Here is a 20,821-nt window from a genome sequence, read left to right as displayed (position 1 = left end):
AGAAGAGAAGCACTGGGTGGCGGGGGCAAGGACCAGTGGGGGAAATGGGCTCAGGCAACGGGCGGAGCAGATGGGGGACCACTAAGAGGTGCAGAGGGGAGCTCAAGGGCTTTACTGTGACCTCTGCCCTGCCCACCCCACCCCTGGACCCCCGCCAGGTTTCTGGTGCAGGGATGGGGGCACAGGCACAGGTACTTGGAAGTCGGAGAAATCAAAGTGGAAACCATCTGGTAAGGGAACCATCCCTTCCTGTAGTTTCTGGCGGGGGGCCATGGAGAGGGGTGGTGCTTTTATTTAAGTAGTTTTATTGGACAAATGGGACTCTTAGGACAGGAAGGCTGGTTGGCCTTGTCCGCAGATGGTCATCGCTCCTGAAAAATGGTCCGAGTCTCTTTCTGCCCAGTTCTGTCATGCTTGGCCTTGGGAGCCGTGTTCACCTCTCCATGCATGGCACCAGGTGGGCCCGTGGGCGGGGTCCAGCTGGGTGGAACCTTCCCAAGCCCCGGAGAGGACAGAACTGGAACGGCAAGCCACACAGGTCCCCATGGAAATCTCCAGGTGTCATGTAATCATCAGGCTGTCCTCGAAGTATTCATTTGTACCGCATGCGTTTGATGTATTCTTAACGAGTATTCCATGGAAAGGATACAAATGTTAATTCCTAAAAAAGAGAACAGAATTCTATATGGCATAGAAATATAAACACATAGAATTTTAAAAGTCTGGATGGAGAGAGTTTGGAAATGTGTCTAGACTTATTCTGTACCTTCACCTTTGCTTTCTCCACTTCATCCATTTCTTCTCTGTCCCATCTTTGATTTGTGTCTTTAGGACACAGAGCCGGCACTCACAGTGTGTTTGTTGAATGAATGAATGAATGATGAATGAATGAATGAATCAAGCACAAGTCAGAGTAATACAGCTGCCGGGGAGCATGAGGAGGAGAGACGAATCCCAGTGGAGGGAATCAGATGGGGCTTGCCTGACCCCTGAAGGAAGGATAGAGGGGAACAGCACGAGACGGGGCGGAAGGTGCCCAGTGGGGCTTGAGGAGTAATGAAATCCTCCCTGGTTTGAATACAGAGTGGTAGAGGGATGTGATGAGAGCTGAGAATTTTTTTAATAGATGAAAAGCGCTTTCCCATCTATGGCTTTAAGCACAAGAATGACAATATTCACTTCAAATTTCATAGTGAAAATGAAGGCCCTGTGTATCCTGAGATGTACCTGCCAGGAGATGGGTGCTAGGCCAGCCTCATACCCCGCATAAACCAGGCAGCGTTTCTGCCTCACTAAGTCACAGTTGAGCCCCCTCCTTCTCCCCAGGATACTCTTGCCCCTTCTTTTTGACAGGCAAGGAAGCTGAGGCACAGAGAGGGGCGGTGGCTTGCTCAGCAGATAGAGGCAGAGCCCAGGCTGGCCTCCCCTTTCCCCCTGCAACACCTCCCTGGATCTTGCTATAAATCTGTTCGCCTCCCTGCTGGGGGTATGGGGATGGTCCTTGGATGTGCATCTTTGGCAGAGCAGCAAGAGCAGGGACAAGGAAGACACCCCGCATGCAGGTGCTGCCTCTGGACCTTGTCCAGGGCGAGGACCCCAGTGCACAATGTGTGGAGGCTTGCCAAGTGTCTACCACTCCCTCCAACTGGTTAGCAGGTCGGTGTTCCCAGAGGATGTCTGAAGAGTTCATGGGCTGTGATACATCAACATCCCCCAAATCGTCCCAGGGTCACAACTCAGATATAAAACTGAAGCCAGGGACTGCCTGCTAACAATTGAGGGTAGGTGGGGGCCCTGGATCCCCAGTTGAGCCATCAGCAGTGGGAAGCAACTGGAAGCAGTGTGCACCATCTTCTCCCCAAACTTTCTAAACCAAGCTGGCAAGCTGGTGAGCACCATTGTGCATAGGTAATAACTCAGCCAGAAACAAGTGTCATGATTCACATGCTACAGCTAATGTCTAGCTAATATCCCCCAGCAGGGATGAGCAATTACAAATTCTTGAATTATCTTCACTGTCTGTAACTCAAACAAACAAGCAATCATCTGTTTCCTTAGCTAACCACCTTTGGGGCTATATGGCTAAAAGGTTGGGAGAGAATGGGCCTCTGAGATGGGAACCTGGCATTGCCACTTCCTGGCTATGCCTCTTGGGCAAGTTACAGGGAGGTCCCCTTCCATATAGTAATTATTATAGTTTCTTTAATACTATACGTGTCTTATAGAATTATTGTGAAGATTAAATGTGATTATTAATTAAAAGTTCCTCAAACATTGTAAACATACCATAAATATTAGCTGTTATGATTAACTGAAAATTAAACCAAAAATATTAGGATGTGGGCATTTATAGATAAAGTATGCTTAGATTTCACAAACATGTTTAATTTTCCTGAGTCTTCTATTTCAACCAGAGAGCAAAATTGAATCAACACTTATGCATGCCAACTCCTCTGGCCAAATGAGAAAGCTAAAACAAAATTGCTTTTGGACTCAGCAAATACACTGTATTCTTTAGCAATTGCTCTTGCTTGCTAAGGTCATCAGTGAGGCTATTGGGATTAGTGCAGTTCCAGGTAGGATCCAGATAGAAATGGGCCGCGGTATTCAGTGTCTCACAGTTGCAAAATCAGATCTTTGTGCTTTCTCACAGACAGGGCTCCATGTACCCTTGAAACACTAATGAGATGCCAAGAGGCTTTCAGGTCATTCCGTGGGGGTCATATTTAGAAACAGAATGATTTGTGTTTAGCTTAAAGATGGGACAGTTGTCCTCCTGAGCTCTGTAACTCAAAGGCCATTGCATAGAGGGTTGTGATTGGGACCCTGGGGTATCACTGGGGGTCCTCAGCAAGTGACTTGACTGCGGTGGTCCTCACTTTCCACAAATGTAGCATGTAGGGCTAGATCCAAGGGCTTTCTTTTTTCTGATTTTAAGTAATTCAAATAGAAACAGAAACTCACCCACATTAGCTGAAGTAAAGGAAGGTCCACCAGAAGTACAACAGGCTCAGGAGTCCAGGATTCCAGCAGCAGGGATCTCACAGATATGGTGGTAAAGGTTGGAGACCCCCCTGATCACTCCCATCTAGTGACATCTTTCCACCTCTCTTTGAGTCTGCCCACCCAGATCTCTTCCCTCCCTAGCTCCCCAGTCTCTACTCCCTCCTCAGCCTACACGTGAGCCAGCACAACCTCCCTGGGCCCCTCTACATCAACTTGTGATTCATCCCCGCAGCCAACTCTTCCAAAATTTTAGTTTTCTCATGCAGACTTTCTGAGAAAGTAATTGGATTGGCCCAGCTCATCTTATTAAGAAGATGACACAGGTCATAAGTTACCTGCCATCCTGTAGACTAGCTCCTCTGCTCTGGGCAGGGACCCATTTGTGTTTGCTGCCTAAATAAATTGGATCCAGGCCCAGTTTCCTGAACTGGGCTAGAGACGTTAGGGCTGAATCAGACAGCCAATCCTGAAATGAGGGACTGAAGCTTTCCAATTCCCACCTGTCTCAGGACAGCATGGATCCCGAAGTCTAGAGCAGGGCTGAGCCTGGGATTGGGGGTCTCACAGGCACAGCTTCCATTGAGGAGAGCTGGGGTGGCCTGGAAGCCAGGGAAGGTCCACCTGAAGGGCCTCACATTTACGGATGGGTAAACTGAGACTCAGAAAGGGATTTACACTTTTGAAGCCTCTGACCATTGCGCATTCAGAAATATTGGGCCACAAAGTAGTATTTGCACAAATACAATACAAAGGGTATTATATTAAGGGAGAGATATCATCACAGATTTTTTTGCCAGTTGTTTGAGGCAGTGAAAATGTTACTAATTCCAGCAAGGTGTGTGTTCCTGGCATTGGGTAAACCTTGGTGCTCATATGCGCCATCTTTCCCTAAGCAGATGGGCAATTTCCATTTGCTATTCATCCAGGTCCTCCAGCATGCATGGAATCTAAGAACATGATACTGAAAGACACCTGTTACAAAGGAAGGAAATGCAGAAAAACAAAACCAAAAGTAAAGTGGAAAATGAAAGGAATGAACGTCAATAAAGAGAGTGAAGTAAAGAGGAAACACACACACATATGCACACACAGAACAGGACACTGCCCCCAGGGCAGGTGTGGTGGCCTGGCACTGGTGTCAGCTGGTCCTCAGCGGGTTCCAAGAGCCCAGGACATGCGTCTCCCTGGTTACACACTGAGACAGGTTTCAGTTTTAACATCTTAAGGGCAACAATGTGGACTTCTTCCACAAACCGTTAGTGGATGCAGTTTGCTAGGATTATAGGTGTTTTTCTTTTTCTTCTTCCATTTTCCAAATCTTCCTTAATGTGGTTATATTTTATAATAAAAAAAGTTTTTTCCGATTATTTTAAGAAGAAAAATCCAAGATAAGTACCTTTTCATCTTTCAGTGAGTGACTCTTCAGGTAGCAGAAGGCAGGGGGTACGGAGTGGGGCAGGCAAGGTCATGGTTAAGAAAGATGAGATTCCAGAGGAAATTTCCAATTTATGGAAAAATAGGGTTGATATGGTCAACTTCACATTTAGCTGATTTGTTAGTGGTTAACCAGCAGGACCAATTATAAATTTTTGGATTGGGAGTTCCAACAATGGTATGGAATTTTCAAGACAGCTCAATGTTAGGAATTTCTTTTCCAGAAAAGGTGCAATTTAACTCAGGTAAAGTGAGTTACTGTTGAGATGATTTTGAGCCTGGCCAATGATTAAACAGGACTTGCCTGTTTGCTGAATGAATTTGATTTCCTAGAGTGAATCTGCTGGGTCTCTAAAAATCTCCAAGCAAAAATCAGTAAAATCTACTGATTAGCAAAATATAGAGTCAGAAGAGATGTTGAGAATGCTAGGAATGGACTTTCTGGATTCATTTTCTTTGCATGAAAATTAGGCCGGCTTGGCAATGGATGATTGGCACTGGGCTCTGTTGGTTTGGGGAGAGGTGGCCTTGTCAAGGTCCTAAAGGACAATTTTTCCAAGGATCCTCTTCCTAGAGATTAGAGTGAGCTGGCTGCTGAGCTGCCTGTAGGCCTAGACAAGCTCAGAGGCAAAGGCAGGAGGAGTGCTAGCCTCAGCATCACCCAGACAGGGTTACCATCACCGCCAAAAAACTAACCCAGTTTTTGTAATCCTGTTTCCTCCACTGTTGCTACCCTGAAGCGTTGTGGTGAGCTTACACATAACAGCTGGGCAGGGTCCAGCCTAGACTACGACCTCAACAAATGTGCATTATATCAGCAGCGTCTTCAAAGACAGGCCAGAGAACGTGACAAACAACCATACACTGGAGACTTAGGAAACCTGTGTGTCCTGCTGACATGAGGCTAGAATCATATTTGCAGGTGGCCCACAGACCCTAGCAGGGACCCCTCTTAGGGGCCTGCCACTCCCACCCTCCTTAACCCTGGCATGGAGATAAAGGACAAATTTCGAGTCTCTTCAAGGGAAATTCCAGGCACCTAGCTAGCTCTATAATCAGCAATTAAGAAAGTAAATAAATAACCCGCTAAATAAGAAGGAAATAATAACTTCAACAATAGCCACCCAAGTGAACCAGAGTCACAAAGTGTTTGGGATCCCTATAGAAACTAAAAGATAACACCTAGCATATGTCCTTGAGTTGTTTTTGGAAACCCAGGCCCCCCGCCAAATGGAAAATGCCAACCATTGTCATTTGGACCTAGATAAGGGGGAACTAAGGACTAAACCCTGACTGCCATTCTTTCTTCTAAATTTCTTCCTGTGGGGCCTGGAGCAAGTCCTCCAGGCCACAGGTGAAGGCTCCTTTACTCTGACCCTCAGTTTTTAGGAAAGCCTTGCTTCCTTGACCAATTGCAAATCAAAGAATCTCTGAATCCACCTATGACCTTTAAGTGCCCACTTCAAGATATCCTGCCTTTTTGGGCCAAAACAACATAAAACCTCCATGTATTGATTTACAGCTTTTCCCATAACTTCTGCTTTCCTGAAATGTAACCCTACCATTAGAAACTCTTGCTTGTAAGCTATTGGGCAGTTTGGGTATTAAGCATTAGTTGCAAGGTTCTCTTTGCTCAGCACCCTGTAATAAATGCCTCACTTTCTCTTGCTGCAAATGCCCATGTGAGTGTTTTTTTTTCTGTGCACTGGGTGAGCAGACCCAAGTACAGCTTGGTAACAGTGGTTGGGCTCTGGAGGAACCCCAATGGGTGGAACAAAGAATGGACTTCACATGGTGGACACAGTAGAGTTTGATGTGAAGTCCAAGCCTCAGGTGCAAACATGCACCTGCAGTGGATAGAGAAGACAGATGGACTACAACATTGGGTAGTGTAAGCACTTTGCAGCTCTAAGCGATGGTGAAGTCAACAGTCACTCCCCTAAAATTGCATGTGGTCACCTGCAGGGCTCAGCCAGGTTTGGGTCACTCTTTTTGGGGCAGGCAGTTCATAGGTGCCAGCTGTTCTAGCAATGTTGCAAAGGGCATCTCATGTCATCCCATAATGGCTTTTTGAAGTAGGTAATATTTTTAACCCATTTTACAGATGAGGCGAGTTAACAGGAGAGATTACAAATTTACACAACTGCTTTTTAAGTCCAGATTCCCAGCCAGGAATTTCTGAATCCAGAGTCCCAGGTTATCTGTTATATTGAGCTGTGCTTGAAACAGCACTCCATAAAGAACAGCTGGCTTGATCCTTGCCAGTGGGACTATAGGGCCTATCTGCTGATTTCTCATGCAGGTGGTTGAATGCTCTCTCAGCATCTACTGAGATTTCCTTTTCTTTAATCTGTTAATGTGGTAAATTGCTGTGTTAATTTCCAATTGCGGCTGTAAAAAATTGCCACAAATGTAATGGCTTAAAACAACAATAAGGTAATAAACAACACATATTTATTATCTTATAGTTCTGTAGGTCAAAAGTCTTAAAATCAAGGTATCAACCAGGCTGTGCTTCCTCTGGAGGCTCTAGGAGAGAATCCATTTTCTCATCTTTTCCAGCCTCTACGTGCCACTGGTATTCCTTAATTCATGGTCTCTTCCTCCATTTTCAAAGCCAACAGTTTTGCTTTATCTTTGAATCTCTTTCTCTCCCTCCCTCTTCCTCCTCTTCCCTTTCCTTCTAACTTCCTCACCTCTATTTCTAGCCTTACATCTCCTTCTCTGACTCTGACCTTCTTCTCTCCTCTTATAAGGATCTTTGTGATTTTATGGGCCCATCTTGATAATCCAGAATAACATCCAGATGTCAACATATGTAACAATCACATTGGCAAAGTCCCTTTTGCTGTATAAGGCAACATATTCACAGACATGTTGAAGGGCCATTGTTCAGCCCACCACAGTTACATCAGCACATTTCTCATGTTAAACCATCCTTGCATTCCTGAGGTTAAATACTTACCTAGTCATGTTGCTGCTTTATTAGTATTTTGAAATAATTTCTGGATTCAGATTGCTAATATCTTCATAAGATTCCTGACATCTAACTTTATAAGTGAGATTTCTTTCTTTGTTTAAGAAACACTTTGGAGCATCAGCAATGTGTCAGGCACAGTTCCAGGACTTTGGGATTCATCAGGGAATAAAATAGAAAAAATCCCTGCCTTGTAGGGTTTACATTCTAGACAGGGAGACAATAACTAGGTAATGCTATGTACTAGGCAGAGAAGTAAACAGGGGAAGGAGGTGGAGAGTGACTGCCATCCTAGACAAAGTGGTAAGGGCAGGATGCTCTGAGGAGGTGGCATTTGAGCAGAGGCTCAAGAAAGGCGGGAGTGAGCCATGTGAGTATCAGCAGAACAGCCAGTGCAAAGGCCCTGAGGCAGGAGTGCTCAGCCTGCTTGGGGAGCTGGAAGGGGGGCATACAGTCAGCAGTAGAGGGCAGGACAGAAAGGTGGCTGGGGAGGAGCACAGAGGGAAGGCAGCACATATTGAGCAGGAGGGGCTACTGAGCAGGTCGGTGATGTATCTGACTTATACTTTAAATAGATCCCCTGGGCCCCAAAGAGGAGAAAAACTAATTGGGCAAAAATGGCAACAGAGAGATTAGCTAGGCGGATGCTGTGAAGATTGGCCAAGGATTTTCCTTTTTCTGAATGTTCTTGTCTGATTTTGATATCAATGTGATGCTAGCTTCAGACAAGTTGGGGAACTTTTCATTTATTAATATTTATTTATTTTGGTGGGGGGGTGATTTTTATGAGGGAGGGACAACCTATTTATTATTTGCAGGCCTGGTAAAGCTCACCTGTCAAGATGACTGGGTCAGGGCCTTTGGTGTGAGAAAATCTTTGATTCAGATTTATTTAAGAGATCCATTCTGATTTCCTAAATTTACCATTTGTAATGTGTATTTCTATAAAATTATTCATTTTCACTTACATTTTCAAACCCTGTGACATAAAGAACACTGTTTTACATCAACGCTTTCTTCTAATTTTTAAAATCTTAATTGTGACTATAGTTATATTACCCCTTTATATGCTTAATAGTTTTTATTGTGACTTCTCTTTTTCTCCTTCTAGAGCTTCTTCAATCAATCTTGCCAGATGTTTGTCTATTTAAGTTTACAAAACAAATGTTGGTTCTGTGGATTCTGTATATTCTTTTATTCTGTTTATTCCTTGCTAGTTTTATACTTTTCTTCATTCAGCTTTCTTTGTAATTATGCTGCTATTCTTTTTCTAACTTGTGCAGACAGTTTTTATCAATTTTAACCTTTTTTTCCCAAACATATGTTGTGACTTTCCCTCTAAGTAATAGTTTAGCAAAAACATAGATTTTGATATTTTGAACTTTGTCATTCACTCTTTAATATTTCAAAAATGTCAGCACAATTTCTTCTTTGACCCATATTTATGTAGAATCGTGTGTTTACATTTCTAAAAATGTAGGTTTGAGAGCTTTTTTGAAGGAAACATTTTTTAAATATACTTGATTAATTTCTGAGAGAGATGTGCTAAACTCTAATGTGGGCTTCTCAATCCCATCTGATCTTTCAGCTGCTTCCACTATCTTGAAGCTGTGTTGCTGAGTATATGAGAGCTCAAGCATACACTTTTCATCAGTATGAAAGATCCCAGTTGTCTCTTTTAATGATTTTCACTATGAATTCAGTTTTTTTCTGTTATTAATTTTACTACATCTGCTCTCTTTTTGTTTTCACTTAGCTGGGACATTTAAAAAATGCTTTTACTTTTAACCTTTGCTTATTTAAATATATATCTAGCAAATTGTCCATTGCTCTACTTATTCGAGAAGACAGTTGGCTACTATACTGTAGAAACCAGAAGTTTAAAATTTAAGTTCTTCTGGGCTAAAGTAAGGTGGGGTCCCTCTTCCCCAAAATATAATCCAGATGGCAGCTGGGTCCTTCTACGTCTTGGGAGAGAGGTTGCTTGTGACTCTAGCCTCAGACAGCTCCTTAGAGCTCCAGAGAGGCCAGCGTGCTCGCCTGTCTCCTGTGCTACTCCGTGTTCCTCTGCCAAAACATCCCCTGTGTCACCTCCACTAGGAAGACTCACATCTGTTCTTTTCTCTTTTAAAATTCAGGTGAAATTTGCATAACATAAAATCAACCATTTTTAAGTGTATAATCCAGTGGCCTTAAGTATATTCACATTATTGTGCAATCATCACCGCCATCCATCTCCAGAAACTTTCTATCATCCTCAACAGAAACTCTGTGCCCATCAAACACGAATTCCCTGTTCTCTCTTCCCCTCATCCCCAGGTAACCTCTCTTCTACTTTCTGTCTGTATGAATTTGCCTATTTGTAGTGGAAGCATACAAGAGTTGCCCTTTTGCATATCTGTTCATTTTTAAAATTGTATTTTGTTTCCTCATTGAACATTTAATAAGAGCTAACCTCACATGCCTCTGTAAGGGATAATGCCTTACACTGTGTGATGCTTTGCACCATCCACGAATTTTCTAATGTATTAGCCTGTTTGAATTTCATAACAATCCTTTAAGGCAAGCACCGAAGACTTTATTACCCTAATGGGACTCTGAGGTCTAGAGAAGCTACTCATGTTGTCTAAAGTCACATAGCAAGTGGCAGAAGCAGGATGAGAAGTCTAGGTCTACAAATTCCATTATTCTTTCTAGAGTATGGCAACTTCTCAGGAGTTGGGGATGATTTCTTTCCTCCTGAATCTTGTGATGTTATAATATAATTAGAAATATACATTTGGTTTTTGCCCCTGGTTCCTGGCACACAGCTCCTAAAATCCTTGGAATCCCCAAAGTAGCAAGTGTCATGCTAATGAGATGACTGGTGGCTGGGGCCCTTGGGCAGCCCCAGGATGGGGGATGGTTGCCAGAAGAATCAACTCTGTGATTGGAAGGTTGAAATTTTAGCCCCACCTCCCACCCTCAGTGGAGCATGGAGAGGATGAAGGTTGATTTCATCACCAGTGGCCAGTGATGTAATCCATCACGCCTACATAATGAAACCTTCATAAAAACCCAAACGGGCAGGGTTTGGAGAGCTTCCAGGTTGCTGAACCCATGGAGGTTCCTGGAGGGTGTTGCCCCTGAGAGGACATGGAAGCTCTGTGCCCCTTCCTCCATACCTCATCCTAGGCATCTCTTCCATCTAGCTGTTGTTCTCTATCCTTTGTAGCATTCTTTATAAGAAATGGGTGAGCCTAAGTAAAGTGCTCCCTGAATTCTGTGAGCTGCTCTAACAAAGTAATCAAATGTGAGGAAGGGGGTTGTGGGACTCCTGACTTATAGCCAGGTGGTTGGAAGTATGGGTCACAAGTTGGGGCTTGGGACTGGTCTCTCATATGGGAGTGCTGTAGGACTGAGCCCTTGCCCTGAGGGATCTGATGCCATCTCTAGGTGGATAGTGTCAAAACTGAATGAAATGACAGGATTTTTTATTCAGTTGGTGTCTGCTAGAGAATTGCTGGATGTGCAGGGAGGAAACCCAGCATATCTGGTGTCAGAAGCATTGTGTTGAGTGACTGTGTAAGAAAGTAGGAAAAACACTGCCTTCTCCTCTATCTTCTACAGAAATCTCAACATAAAATTCAAGTAGCTACATTCTATACAAGCAGAGAAAAAATATGTTGTATTTGTGAGCATGTAGTTAGAGAGGAGTCGTTACACGGAGGTCAGAACTCACAGGAAGCTCATCAAAGACAGACTGTGGCTGGTGGCCCTGGTGGCCTAACGCACGTCTGGCTTCATGGGGATGGTCTCCACTTGCCACCCCCAGCCTCGCTTTCCTCATGCCTGCTGTCTTTACCGAAGGTTTTCTCCCAGCGGGAGGGTTTAGGATGCACAAGATACGCTCTTCCAAAAAAGTTGGGCATTTCTCCAGGAGCCAGAAAAATAAACCAGTGCTCAAACAGACTGGAAGACAATTTTGTTTTTCCAAGCTCTGAAATAATCAAGATCTCACTGTGTACATGTTTGCAAACAAGGAGGAACAATAAGCACATTCAACATGTAGAGTTTTATTTGCAGTTCTATCGTGCAGGACAATCATTTGTTAGGACTTGATTACGACTGTCACTCTGTGAAAATATTGTTGAGCCTGGGCCCTACTCAGAAATGAACGCTCACAGACTTGTGAAATGGAAAGCCCTGTCTTTCCTGTTGGGCACTAATGATTCTCATACAAGCAGGGAAGGTCAGTTTCAACAAAGAAAAGTTGACGAGAGCAGAGTAAACAAGTTCGTCATGAACGCATCTGCTAATTGATCCTCTGAGTCTGAGGGATATTTTCCTTTAATGTGGCAGCTTCATGAACATGCATGTGTATTATAGCTACACTTTCAAGGCTAAGACTAAGATCTGCTCTAATACAGAAACACTAATTTCCTATTGATTCAAGTAAATTCAGTGTAGAGAGAACCATGGCAGACACGAGGGTATTGATCAGTGCGGTTTCCCAGCATGTGTACACACACATAGTGAAGCTGGGACAGTTCTAGAGTACTACAGGACACTCCAGGAGGATAGTGTGTGGATCCTGCCAGCTGTTGGCTTCCCACTGCGGGAAGATCTTCAAGACAAATCCACACAGCCTGGGGGCCCTCACTTCTGGGCCTTGGTGGCTCCCAGTTACTAAGGGCAGAGCCAAATTGCAAGGGTTTGGGGGGATTTGGGGACTACATTGAATTTAAACTTTCACCATCCACCAACTGATCTTCCCTCCTGTTGATAGTTGAGAGGAGAGTCCAGTAATTAAAATAATATAGATGACATCAAACGCTCATTGAATGCTTCCCAGATAGGCCAGGCACTATTTTAAATGTTTTACCTTTAGTAACTCACTTTTTCGTTCTCAAATTCCAAATGAAATGGATTTCTGTCATTATCATTCTAAGACACAGAGAAAGATAATCACTTGTGCATGGCCTCACAGCTTGGTGGAAGGGAGGGAGCTCAGATCCACCCTCATCACTGGGCTGTGCTCTCTCCAGGTATAGTACAGTGCAGGCAGGGCCCGTTGTGAGACGATTCACCTTTGGGCCACATGTGGGGAAAAAAATATATCCCACGAACATTACTCATGTGAACATAACCGAAGAGGAACATTTAAACTGTGCAACAGAACAACTTTTGGAGCCCTTTTGTAACTCCTGCTTGCATAATATGTATATATATCAATATATCTATATCTATATATAGAATCTCTCTATTGTGTCATCATGTTTGTGTAAACCACACCAATCCAAAAGATCAACACAAAGTAAATCATATTTCTTCATCAGACAATATTATTCTCATTATAGCTAACTTCTATATAGTGCTTTTTTCCAATGCGTTTTCATAAACATCATCTTATCTGAGCACTGAGCAGCACTCACTAAGTCAGTACATTATTGACATGGACTTCCACTGGATGGGACTGGTTTTCAGGAAACACTTTTAGCCTAGTAATAATAGTAATAATAATATCTGCCGCATTTTGAGCTCTTACCCTATAATGTTGTGCTAAAGGCTTTTGTAAAATTTTATTAATCTTTACAAAGTATTGCCACCATGAAGATAGTACTATTATTAGCTGCCCCCCACCTTTTTTTAAAATAAAAGAGAAGGAGGGCCAGGCGTGGTGGTTCACATCTGTTATCCCAGCACTTTGGGAGGCCGAGGTGGGAGGATCACCTGGGCCAGGAATTTGAGATCAGCCTGGGCAACACAGTGAAACCTTCTCTCTACAAAAATTTTTTTTTTAAAAAATTAGCTGGGTGTGGTGCCACTCACCTGTAGTCCTGGCTACAGGAGAAAGTGGGAGAATTGCTTGAGCCCAGGAGGTGGAGACTGCAGTGATCCGAGATGGTGCCACTACACTCCAGCCTGTGCGACAGAGCAAGAGCCTGTCTCAAATTAAAACAAAAAAAAAGTGAGAGAGAGAATGAGGCTGAGAGACATTAACAGACTTGTCCAAGGTCGTGTAATGTTAATAAGTGGATTTCCTGCAGACACCTTGCAGACACATGATTGTAGTTGTGAAAAAGGAGACCTGCAACTTAATTATGCAGATTTGGAAAAGCAAAATGATGCTCAAAGATGAAGATTGCCCAAGAACAATCTAACCAATTGTGATACCGAGACTTTACAAACCACATCACTTGAGAAGATGAGCGTACACTGAATCATATTTCTTCATCAGACAATATTATTCTGATAATAGCTCAATGTCATATGGTGAATTCTGACCAAATGAAAATTATACTGTAATTTTTCATATGACTATACATAAGAGATGCAGAAATCCTAAATACAATAGTAGATAATTGAGTCTTGCACTATCCCAGGAATGCAAAGATAGTTTAGGGTTAGGAAATCTATTGACATAATTTATCATATTATAAGACAAATAAATAATATATGATTCTTTCAATGTATTCTGGAAATATTTTAATAAAACTCAATATCCAATACTGATCAAATTTACAAAACACTAATGGTATCTCAGTAAACTGGGAATAGAAAGACACTCCTTTAAAATAGTAGAGTATCCATCTCAGTGTATCAACCAATATCACACTTGTTACTGAAATGCTAGGAGCCTTCCCCTTAAAGTCAGGTATAAGACAAGGGTGGCCACTATCACCCCTATTTTTTAATGCTTTTCTGGAAATTCTAAGTTGGTGTAAAAATACACAGAAAAAAGATAAGAATATTAGAAAGGAGATACGGGTGGTAATTATTTGCAGATGTTTTAGCTATTCATCCGAAAAATCCAACAGGGTCAACTGACAAACTATTAGAATGAAAAGGAGAAGTCAGTGAGTTTGCTGTTTTTAACAAATCTATACAATAAACAATCTCATGAAAATAGGCAAAGAACATAAACGGGTAGTTCTCAGAAAAAAGAAATAGAGATGGTTTTTAAACATATGGGAAGATGCTGAAAATCATTCTGATATTGTTTGATGTTTTCCTCTCCATATCTCATGTTGAAAGGTACCCCCAGCGTTGGAGGTGGGGCCAAGTGGGAGGTGTTTCAATCACGGGGCGGACCCCTCATGAATGGCTTAGTGCCAGCCATTGGTGATGAGGGATCTCTTGTTCTGTGAGTTCACCTGAGATTTGGTTGTTGGGTGCCGTGGCTCACGCCTGCAATCCCAGCACTTTGGGAGGCCAAGGCATGTGGGTCACTTGAGGTCAGGAGTTTGAGACCATCCTGGCCAACATGGTGAAACTCCATCTCTACTAAAAATACAAAAAATTAGCTGGGCGTGGTGGCACACGCCTATAGTCCCAGCTACTCGGGAGGCTGAGGCAGGAGAATCGCTTGAACCCGGGAGGCGGAGTTTGCAGTGAGCCGAGATTGGGCCACAGCACTCCAGCATGGGCGACAGCTCGAGATTCCATCTCAAACAAACAAACAAACAAACAAACAAACAAACAAACAAACCAAGAGCCTGGGGCCTCCCGCTTCTCTCCCTCTTTCTCCCACTCACATCACATGCTGCATTGCTTCCCCTTTCACCTTTCACCATGAGTGGAAGCTTCCTGAGGTCTTCACTAGAAGCAGACGCCAGCACTCTGCTTCCTGTAGAGCCTGCAGAACTGTGAGCCAATTCAACCTCTTGACTTTATAAATTACCTAGCCTCAGGTATTTCTCTAAAGCAATGCAAAAATGGACTAACGCATATTCACAGTAAGTGAAATCAAATGACAACTACACTAAGATACTACTTTTAACCAATCACACTTGCAAATATAGAGAAAGTCAATACCACACTGAGATGAAGGTGAGGGACTCTCTTGGATACAATCCTTTTGGAATGTAAATTGGTACAACCTCTATGGAGAGTTCTATCCAAATTACAAATGTCTGTACCCTTTGACTCATTAACCCATCAACTAAGAGTTTATCCTAGAGATATACTCACATGTGCATGAAGTGATATATTTACAAAGTTACCGCTGTTTTTGAAATAGCAAAAGATTAGAAACATTCTAAATGCCAGTCACCAGTGCAATGATTAAATAGATTATGGTATCCACACCAGATGGAGAATCTAGTTAAAAAACAAAAAAAGGAATCCTTAGCGGCTAATATGGGATGATCTCCAAGATACATTGCAAAATGAACAAAAGCAAGGCACAGAAGAACTATTACTTGTTATAGTTATAATGAGAAGGATACGTGTGTATATGTGTGTGTGTGTCTGCTTCATGTGTATAAAGTGTCTTTTTTTTTTTTTTTTTTTTTTAATTTTGAGACAGAGCTTCGCTCGCCCTTGTAGCCCAGGCTGGTGAGATCTTGGCTCACTGCAACCTCTACCTCCCAGTTCAAGCAATTCTCCTGCCTCAGCCTCCTGAGTAGCTGGGATTACAGGTGCATGCCACCGTGCCTGGCTAATTTTCGTATTTTTAGTAGAGATGTGCTTTCACCACATTGGCCAGATTGGTCTTGATCTCCTGACTTCAGGTGCTCTGCCAACCTCGGCCTCCAAAGTGTTGGGATTACAGGTGTGAGCCACTGGTCTGGCCTGTATAAAGTGTCTCTAAGGTAAGAAACTGATAGCATTGATTGTTTCCAGGAGTGAGAATATTGGTGGGAGGCTTTTTACTCTGTAACTTTTTTAAACTTTGAAAGTTTCAACTGTGTAAGTTTAATAACCTTTAAAAATTAAATTAAAACATGATAATACAAAACATAAAACGCTTTTTTCCCCAGATGGGGTCTCAGTAAGTTGCCCAGGCTGGCCCCGAACTCCTGGGCTTAAGCAACTCACCTGCCTGAGCCTCTGAGTAGCTGGGACTACAGGAGCACACCACCACACCCAGTGAATTTGTTCTTGTACTGCTGTAAAGAAATACCTGAAATTGGGTAATTTATGAAGAAAAGAGGTTTAATTGGCTCACAGTTCTGTGAACTGTACAGGCTTCTGCTTCTGGGGAGGCCTCAGGAAACTTACAATCGTGATGGAAGGCAAAGAGGAAGTAGGCACGTCTACATGGCAGGCACAGGAAAATAGAGAGAGGAGGGAGACACTACACACTTTTAAACAACTGGATCTTAAGAGGACTCTATCACAAAACAGCACTAGGGGGATGGTGCTAGTCCATTAGAAACCACCTTTCCAATCACCTCCCACCAGGCCCCACCTCCAACACCGGGGATTACAATTCAACATGAGATTTGGGTGGGGACACAGATCCAAGCCATATCGCCTGGCAAATCTTTTTTTTTTCTTCTTTTTTTTTAGACAGGGTCTCATTTTGGAGCCCAGACTGGAGTGCAGTGCTGCGACCTCTGCCTCCTGGACTCAAGCAATCCTCCCCCTTCAGCCTCCTGAGTAGCTGGGACTACAAGTGTGTGACACCATGCCTGGCTAATTTTTTTTTTTTTTTTTTTTTTGGATTTTTAGTAGAGACGGAGTTTCACAATGTTGTTCAGGCTGGTCTCGAACTCCCGGGCTCAAGCGATCTGCCCACCTTGACCTCTCACACTGCTGGAAGTACGGGCAAGAGCCACCCTGGCAAATCTTTTTGATAGACTATTATACACACTAACCCATTAAGGAATATATTATTGGAATAAGATCCTATTCACAAGAGTCAAAAAGATAAAATAAAATACCAAGGTATAAATTTAACAAGAAATGTACAAGACCTGAAAACTACAAGATATATGAAGATACATAATAGTGTCTATCTAGGTTGTTCATTACCTTTGACCCAATGATTTTACTTCTAGGCATTTACACTAAAGAAATAGCATAGATGAGAGTAAGGGTTAACTTATAAAAATGCCTATCCCAACCTTATTTATAAAGATAATACATTGGAAACCAACTAAGTATACAATAATAGGACTGAAACATTTGACTAAATTATGCTATCTACATGTGTATAGGACACAAACTTGTGTGCTTTGTCAGATGCCCCAGACGGCCTCTGTCTCACTGTCATTTGAGCTCTGTGTCCCACCTGCACACAGTTGCCGTCTATTACTGAACTTAGATAAAATACCACAAGTCAGGGCTTCTGTGCAAACCCAAAGGACTGGACCACACAACCCAGTCCTATGGGACAGTTAGCTCCTGTAGGGCAGGGAAGTTTCCAAACCTTCCTAGGGTTCCATGCTAGGGCTGAAAGTAAAACTGACAAAGACAGCTTAACAGCAGAAATGAATCCAAATCATTAAATGAAAGTTTTATGTGACATGGGAGCCTTCCCAAGGAAATGAAGTCCCAAAAGCCTGGAGAAAACTATGGATTTTGATGCGAAGTCTGATGAAAGAAGTGGATAGTTGTGGAGAAACATGACTGTACACAAAAGGGGTAACAAACTGGGTGAGTTTTGTGGGGGAACCCAGAAAGCCCTGTTTGTTAGGATTCTTTTCTCTGTCTCTGTAAGACTTTCCTTCCCTTCTACACATAGGGTAGGACACCTGTCCCATGAGGGCTTTCAGGGGAAAGAGAGATCAGAGTGACCTTCCCATATTTTATGGCTAGCTTTGGGGTAGAGGAGTTCTAGTTTCTTTGATCCACCTTGGGGGAGAGGATTTTTGTTTTCTATGACAGGCCTTGGGGGAGAAAGGGGAGAAGGTTGAAGAGACCTTGCTTCTGAGGCCTCCCCAAGCTTCCTCAGCTCAAAGTACTCAGCACACCAACGTGCCATACTTTGGGGTATTGTCTTCTAAGCCCAAGACACTCCCTCTGGGGGTGACTCTTGACCTGCTGGAAGTGGGAGGCAGGAGGGAATTGGGCAGGTACATCCTCTCCACTTTCTCCCTCTGGGAACTCGTCCATGGTATAGCTCCTCCTCGCAGCCCCTCGGGACACACCTTAAGCCAGGGGATGACTGACCTGCTATGTCTTTGTGCAGTTTGTCATGAGATCTCAGTCAACACAGTGACTCATCACACAGCATTTGTGTTTTTCCTGGTGTTTTTCTTTCCATTCTTCTCAAGGTCTCTTCCCGGAGCTTGCACCTCCCTAAGAAAGTATCAGCAGGTTAATCCTTGCCTAAGGCTGGATTTTCTAAGGGACCCATGTTGAGACATTCATCTGAGCTATTGTTTAAAATGATGTTGAAGACTATCTATGACATGAAGAAACATTTGTATTGGGTCCATGAAACAGCAGATGTTCAAAATGTTAATATGTGTAGTAGTCCTCTCAGGCTGCTGTAACAAAATACTACAGGATGGATGAACTACGTGACAGAAATGTATTTTCTCACATTTCTGCCCTTTGGAAGTCACAGTTGGTTTCTGGTGAGGTCTCTCCCCTTGGCTTGTAGACAGCTATCTTCTTGCTGCTGCATTCTTACAGAGGCTTTCCTCTGCACATGAGAGGAGGAGGAGAGAGAGAGAAATCTCTGGTGTCTCTGCCTCTTTTTACAAGTACACTATTCCATTGGATTAGGGCCCCACACTTATGATGTCATTTAACCTTAATTAGCTCCCTAAAGCTTCTATCTCCAAATACAGTCACCTTGGTGGTAAGGGCGTCAACAGATGAACTGGAGGTAGAAGATGCATTTCAGATCAATGTTTTCATCCTTGTAAAAAACATAAAGAAAAACTTTGGAAGGAAAATACCAACATATTAATGGCTGTTAAAATTAGGGGTAGGATTACGAGGATTATTTTTATACTCTTATTTCTGAATTATCTACATTTATTAAAAACCCATTTGTATCAGTGATCTGTTGCTGCATTACAAGCCACCCCAAAACTTAGTGCGTTCAAACAACATCCATTTTATTTGTGGACAGTTTTGTGTGTCAGCAGCTTTGGCTGGGCTCTGCTGGGCAGTGATTCTGCTGGTCTTGCCTGGAGTCTTTCAGGTGGCCCTAGTCTGGTAGCTGTCCTGGGGCTGTTGGGTCCAAGATAGACTCATAACATGGCAGGCATGCCTCTCTCTCGAGGTGGTCTTTCATGTCCACAGTGCCAGGTGGGACCTTTTTTGCATAGTGGCAGCAGCTCGAAGAGGACAGGAGTGGAAGATTTGATGTCTCTGAGGCCTGCTCTAAGCTCCCACAGTGTCACTCCCTCCACAACCTGTTGTTCAAAGCAAGTCACAGGCCTGACAGATTTGGGGGTGGTGGGGAGAGATATCTTTTCTGCCTCTCTGGGTGGGAGAAGCGGTAAAGTCACAGGATGAAAAGGCTGGAGTACACGGATGGGAAGAATGATCAGACTCTTTGCAAATGATCTACCATACTGTTTCAAAGAATTTTTTAGTTTCTTCCAGGCTATGTATCTATATTGAGGCAATAATAATGGCTAACACTTATATAATTATTTTGTTCCAGACTCAAGATTCTATTTGGACTTGAAGGAAAACATTTTAAAAGTATTACATAAGTCCTACAGCTGATATTTTTAACCAAAATAGATGGGCTTTTTGCTAGAGTCTGAGTGTGTCCTCTACAATTTACATGCTGAAATTCAATTGCCAGTATGATAGTATTGAGAAGTTCTGCCTTTAGGAGGTGATTAAGTCATGAAGACTTTGCCCTCATGAATGAGATTAATACCTTACAAAAGAGGATCCATGCAGCATTCAAAACAAAAAGAACCTTTTGTTCTTCCACCCTTTCTGCTATGCAAAAACACAGCGTTCATTCCCTCTGGAGGAGGACACAGCAAGAGGCACCATCTTGAAAACACAGACCATGCCCTTACCAGACATTGAACTTGCAGGCACCTTAATTTTGGACTTCCAGCCTCCAGAACTGTGAGAAATAAATTTCTGTTGCTTTTAAGTTACCCAGTCTCGGGGATTTTGTTATGGCAGCACAAATGAACTAAGACAGCCTTCCTCTCCACCCGTTCAAATTAGTGAAATTTACAACATATGTATCAGGGAAAGTAAACTTCAATTTAGTTCCTGGCTGCTGGACAGATTGTCAGATTTGTGCTAGTGATTAGAAGAATAAATTTCCCACAATTCTGCAATTAAAATCCTACCAGTTTTCCATTTCTGATTGTGTGGTAGGATAGGACCATCTCCTAGTTTCTTAATATTATTAGATTAGCAAGAAGATGTCTAACATGACTCAGTGTTGTTCTTGAGAAATAATTAGCTACCTAAGTGGAATAGATCTCCATGGAATACAACTATATCTCTTTTATAACATTTAAATTTGGAGGCTTAATTATCTAGTGAAAAATTGTCACTTTAGCACTTTAGTCCATTTGGCTATATATTGACATTATTAAAATGCTTTCCTGGTCTTTATGCAAATTGCTTTTTTAAAAAAACCAATTTATCTCCTAGCAACCCAAAGTGAAATAAGTGCTGAAAAATACCACTTCAAGAAGACTTTGAGCTCTTAATCCATGTAAATTCCCGAGGTTTATTTATTGATTGTCTGAATGA

The 20,821-nt window shown here is 42.8% G+C and overlaps 1 protein-coding gene and 1 long non-coding RNA gene across 2 annotated transcripts in view, besides 1 other annotated feature; one reads left to right on the top strand and one right to left on the bottom strand.

Annotated features, from left to right (window-relative positions):
- The window catches only part of TEX36 (testis expressed 36), a 106,642-nt gene that overhangs the window by 79,683 nt on the left and 6,138 nt on the right, over positions 1 to 20,821 (top strand). The window lies entirely within an intron of this gene.
- Positions 229 to 18,995, bottom strand: LOC102724793 (uncharacterized). Its single transcript, XR_428823.2, has 3 exons — positions 18,929 to 18,995; positions 18,299 to 18,427; positions 229 to 661 (listed from the first exon to the last, which is right to left on the bottom strand). It is a non-coding gene; the product is annotated as an uncharacterized LOC102724793 (long non-coding RNA).
- Positions 18,209 to 18,723: an enhancer, noted in NCBI's record as "NANOG hESC enhancer chr10:127273327-127273841 (GRCh37/hg19 assembly coordinates)". NCBI's record gives its function as "activates a minimal SCP1, AML or CMV promoter by ChIP-STARR-seq in naive H9 embryonic stem cells {active_cell/tissue: H9 hESC(naive)}" and the evidence as "EXISTENCE:reporter gene assay evidence [ECO:0000049][PMID:30033119]".

Source organism: Homo sapiens, chromosome 10, assembly GCF_000001405.40.
Source record: "Homo sapiens chromosome 10, GRCh38.p14 Primary Assembly".
NCBI classification, from domain to species: Eukaryota; Metazoa; Chordata; class Mammalia; order Primates; family Hominidae; genus Homo; species Homo sapiens.
Note: the sequence above shows the minus strand (reverse complement) of the source record. Positions and strands in the feature narration are given on the sequence as shown.